Below are 5,681 nucleotides of genomic sequence, written 5' to 3'. Positions count from 1 at the left end.
CTCTCTTTTGATAGAGCAGTTTTGAAATAATACTTTTGTAGAATCTGCTTGTGGATATTTGGAGCTCTTTGAGGAATTCTTTGTAAACGGGATATCTTCACATACAAACTAGAGAGAAGCATTCTCAGAAGATGCTGTGTGATGCGTGCGTTCAACTCACAGAGGTGAACCTTCCTTTTCAGAGACCAGCTTTGAAACCGTCTTTTGGTGTTAACTGTAAGTGGATATTTGGAGCGATTTGAGGCCTATGTTGGAAAAGGAAATATCTTCACATAAAAACTAGACAGAAGCATTCTCAGAAACTCCTGTGTGATGTGAGTGTTCAATTCACAGAGTGGAACCTTTCTTTTGATAGAGTAGATATGAAACACTGCTTTTGTAGAATTTGCTTGTGGATATATGAAAATTTTTGAGGAATTCATTGGAAACGGGCTGTCTTCAGAAAAAAAATTGGCAGAAGTATTCTCAGAAAATTCTTTGTGATGTGTGCATTCAACTCATAGAGTTGAACCTTCCTTTTGAGAGAGAAGTTTTGAAACAGTTTTTTGCAGTATCTACAAGTGGATATTTGGAACGATTTGAGGCCTATGGTGGAAAAGGAAATATCTTCACATAAAAACTATACAGAAGCATTCTGAGAACTGCTTTGTGATGTGTGCATTCACCTCACATACTTGAACCCTTCCTTTGTTGGAGCACTTTTGAAAAAGTTTTTTTGTAAAATTTGCAAGTGTTCATTTGGAGCGCGTTGAAGACTGTGGTGAACAAGGAAATACCTTCACATAAAAACTAGACAGAAGCATTGTCAGAAACTTTTTTGTGATGTGTGCATTCAACTCACAGAGTTGAACTTTTCTTTTGATGGAGAAGTTTTGAAACACATCTTTTGTAAAATCTGCTTGTGGATATTTGGAGCTCTTTGAGAAATTCATTGTAAATGGGATATCTTCACATACAAACTAGACAGAAGCATTCTCAGAAGCTGCTATGTGATGTGTGCGTTCAACTCACAGAGTTCAACCTTCCTTTTCAGAGAGCAGTTTTGAAACAGTCTTTTGGTGTTACCTGCCAGTGGGTATTTAGAGCGATTTGAAGCCTATGGTGGAAAAGGAAATATCTTCATATAAAAACTAGACAGAAGCATTCTCAGAAACTGCTTTGTGATTTGTGCATTCAACTCACATATTTGAACCTTTCTTTTTATAGAGCAGTTTTGAAACAGTCTTTTTGTAGAATCAGACGTTGCATATTTTGAGCGATTTGAGGCCTCTGTTGGAAAAGGATATATCTTCACATAAAAACTAGACAGAAACATTCTTAGGAATTTCTTTGTGATGTGTGCATTCAGCTCACAGAGTTGAACGTTTCTTTTGACAGAGCTGTTTTGAAACACTCTTTTGGTAAAATCTGCAAGTGTTCATTTGGAGAGCTTTGAGGCCTATGGTCTAAAAGGAAATATCTTCACATAAAAATATACAGAAGCATTCTCAGAAACTCTTTTGGGATGTGTGTGTTCAAATCATAGAGTGGAACCTTTCTGTTGATAGAGCAGTTTTCAAACACTTCTTTTGTGAAATCTGCTTGTTGATATATGAAACTTTTTGAGGAATTCGTTGTAAACGGGCTATCTTCAGAAAAAAACTAGACAGAAGTATTCTCAGAAAGTTCTTTGTGATGTGTGCATTCCACTCACAGTGTAGAACTTTTGATAGAGCAGATTTGAAACATTATTTCTGTATAATCTGCAGGTGTTCATTTGGAGCGCTTTGAGGCCTATGGTGGAAAAGGAAATATCTTCACATGAAAACTAGACAGAAACATTCTCAGAAATATTTTGTGATGTGTGCATTCAATTCACAGAGTTGAACCTTTCTTTTGATAGAGCAATTTTGAAGCACTGCTTTTGTAGAATCTCCTTGTGGATATTTGGAGCTCTTTGAGGAATTTGTTGTAAACGGGATATCTACACATACAAACTAGACAGAAGCATTCTCAGAAACTGCTTTGTGATCTGTGCATTCAACTCACAGAGTGGAACCCTTCTTTTGTTAGAGCAGTGTTGAAACAGTCTTTTTGTAGTGTCTGCAAGTGTCCATTTGGAGCACTTTGAATCCTATGGTGGAAAAGGAAACATCTTCACATAAAAACTAGACAGAAGCATTCCCAGGATCTTCTTTGAGATGTGTGTGTTCAACTAACGGAGTTGAACATGTCTTTTGATAGAGCATTGTTGAAACACTCCTTTTGAGGGATCTGCTTGTGGATATTTTGAACTCTTAGGGATATCGTTGGAAACGGATGTCTTCATATAAAAACTAGACAGAAGCATTCTCAGAAACTGCTTGGTGATGTGTGCATTCAGCTCACAGAGTTGAACCTTTCTTTTAATAGAGCAGATTTGAAACTTTCTTTCTGTATAATCTGCAAGTGTTCATTTTGAGCGCTTTGAGGCCTAGGGGGAAAAGGAAATATCTTCGCATAAAAACCAGACAGAAGAATTCTCTGAAACTTTTTTGTAATGTGTGCATTCAGCTCACAGAATTGAACCTCTCTTTCGATAGAGCAGTTTTGAAACTCTACTATTGTAGAATCTGCTTGTGGATATTTGGAGCTCCATGAAGAATTCGTTGTAAATGGGATATCTTCACATACAAACTACACAGAAGCATTCTCAGAAGCTGCTGTGTGATGTGTGCGTTTAACTCACAGAGGTGAATCTTCCTTTTCAGACAGCAGCTTTGAAAGAGTCTTTTGGTGTTAACTGCAAGTGTTCATTTTGAGCGCCTCGAGGCCTATGGTGGAAAAGGAAATATCTTCACATAAAAACTAGACAGAAGCATTGTCAGAAACTTTTTTGTGATGTGTGCATTGAACTCACAGAGTTGAACCTCTCTTTTGATAGAGCAGTTTTGAAACACTCCTTTTGTAGAATCTGCTTGTGGATATTTGGAGCTCTTTGAGGAATTCGTTGTAAACGTGATATCTTCACATACAAACTAGAAACATTCTCAGAAACTGCTTTGTGATGTGTGCATTCAACTCACAGAGTTGAACCTTGCTTTTGAGAGATCAGTTTTGAAACAGTGTTTTTGTAGTATCTGCAAGTGTTTATTTGGTGCGATTTGATACCTATGGTGGAAAAGGAAATACCTTCACGTAAAAACTAGACAGAAGCGTTCTCAGAAACTGCTTTGTAATGTGTGCATTCAACTCACAGAGTTGAGCCCTTCCTTTGACGGAGCAGTTTTGAAACAGTCTTTTTCTAGAATCTGCAGGTGTTCATTTGGAGTGCTTTTAAGCCTATTGTGGAAAAGGTAAAATCTTCACAAAAAAACTAGACAGAAGGATTCTCAGAAACTTTTTTGTGATGTCTGCATTTAACTCACAGAGTTGAACCTTTCTTTTGATAGAGAAGTTTTGAAACACACCTTTTGTACAATATGCTTGTGGATATTTTGATCTATTTGAGGAATTCATTGTAAACGGGATATCTACACATACAAACTAGACAGAAGCATTCTCAGAAACTGCTCTGTGATGTGTGGATTCACATCACAGAGTGGAACCCTTCTTTTGTTAGAGCAGTTTTGAAAAAGTCTTTTTGTTGTATCTGCATGTTCATTTGGAGCTCTTTGAAGCCTATGGTGGAAAAGGAAATATCTTCACTTAAAAACTAGACAGAAGCATTCCCAGGATCTTCTTTGAGATGTGTGCATTCAACTAAGAGAGTTGAAACTGTCTTTTGATAGAGCACTATTTGAAACACGCTATTTGTGGAATCTGCTCGTGGATATTTAGAACTGTCGGGAATTCGTTGGAAACGGGCATCTTCACATAAAAACTAGACAGAAGCATTCTCAGAGAATTCTTTGTGATGTGTGCATTCAACTCACAGACTTGAACCATTTTCTGATAGAGGAGATTTGAAACTTTCTTTCTGTATAATCTGCAAGTGTTCATTTTGAACGCTTTGTGGCCTATTGTGCAAAAGGAAATATCTTCACATAAAAACTAGACAGAAGCATTCTCAGAAAATTTTTTGTGATGTGTGCATTCAACTCACAGAGTTGAACCTCTCTTTTGATAGACTAGTTTTGGAACAGTGTTTTTGTAGTATCTGCATGTACATATTTTGAGCGATTTGAGGTCAATGGTGGAAAAGGAAATATCTTCACATAAAAAATAGACAGAAGCATTCTCATAAACTGCTTTGTGATGTGTCTATTCAACTCACGTAGTTGAACCATCTTTTGAAGTAGAAGTTTTGATACAGTCTTTTTGTAGAATCTGCAAGTGTTCATTTGCAGCGCTTTGAAGACTATGGTGGAAAAGGAAATATCTTCACATAAAAACTAGACAGAAGCATTCTCAGAAACTTTTTTGTGATGTGTGCATTGAACTCACAGAGTTGAACCTCTCTTTTGATAGAGCACTTTTGAAACACTCCTTTTGTAGAATCTGCTTGTGGATATTTGGAGCTCTTTGAGGAATTCGTTTTAAACGGGATATCTTCTCTTACCAACTAGAAGCATTCTCAGAAACTGCTTTGTGCTGTGTCCATTCAACTCACAGATTTCAACCTTCCTTTTGATAGAGCAGTCACAAAACAGTGTTTTTGAAGTATCTGCAAGTGGATATTTGGAGGGATTTGAGGCCTATGGTGGAAAAGGAAATATCTTCACATAAAAGCTCGACAGAAGCATTGTCAGAAACTACTTAGTGATGTGTGCATTCAACTCACAGAGATGAGCCTTTCTTTTGACAGAGCAGTTTTGAAACAGTCTTTTTGTAGAATCTGCAGGTGGATATTTGGAGCGATTTGAGGCCTCTGTTGGAAAAGGATATATCTTCCATAAAAACTTGACAGAAGCATTCTCAGGAACTTCTTTGTGATGTGTGCATTCAGGTAACAGATTTGAACCTTTCTTTTGACAGATCAGTTTTGAAAAACTCTTTTGGTAAAATCTGACAGTGTTCATTGGAGAGCTTTGAGTCCTATGGTGGAAAAGCAAATATCTTCACAAGAAAACTGGACAGAAGCATTCTTAGAAACTCCTTTGTGATGTGTGTGTTCAACTCACAGAGTGGAACCTTTCTTTTGATACAGCAGTTTTGAGACACTTCTTTTGTAGAATCTGCTTTGGATATATGAAACTTTTTGAGGAATTCATTGGAAACGGGCTATCTTCAGAAAAAAACTATGCAGAAGTATTCTCAGAAAATTATTTGTGATGTGTGCATTCAACTCACAGAGTTGAACCTTTCTTTTGATAGAGCAGATTTGAAACATTCTTTCTATAATCTGCAAGTGTTCATTTGGAGGGCTTTGAGGCCTATGGTGGAAAAGAAAATATCTTCACATAAAAACTAGACAGAAGCATTCTCAGAAACTTTTTTGTGATGTGTGCATTCAACTCACAGATTTGAAACTTTCTTTCAATAGAGCAGTTTTGAAACACTGCTTTTGTTGAATCTCCTTCTAGATATTTGGAGCTCTTTGAGGAATTCGTTGTAAACGGGATATGTACACATACAAAGTAGACAGAAGATTTCTCACAAACTGCTTTCTGATGTACGCATACACCTCACAGAGTGTAACCCTTCTTTTCTTAGAGCAGTTTTGAAACAGTCTTTTGTAGTATCTGCAAGTGTTCATTTGGAGAGCTTTGAGTCCTATGTTG

The sequence above is a fragment of the Homo sapiens genome, chromosome 12 (assembly GCF_000001405.40).
Source record: "Homo sapiens chromosome 12, GRCh38.p14 Primary Assembly".
In the NCBI taxonomy this organism is placed as follows: domain Eukaryota; kingdom Metazoa; phylum Chordata; class Mammalia; order Primates; family Hominidae; genus Homo; species Homo sapiens.
Note: the sequence above shows the minus strand (reverse complement) of the source record.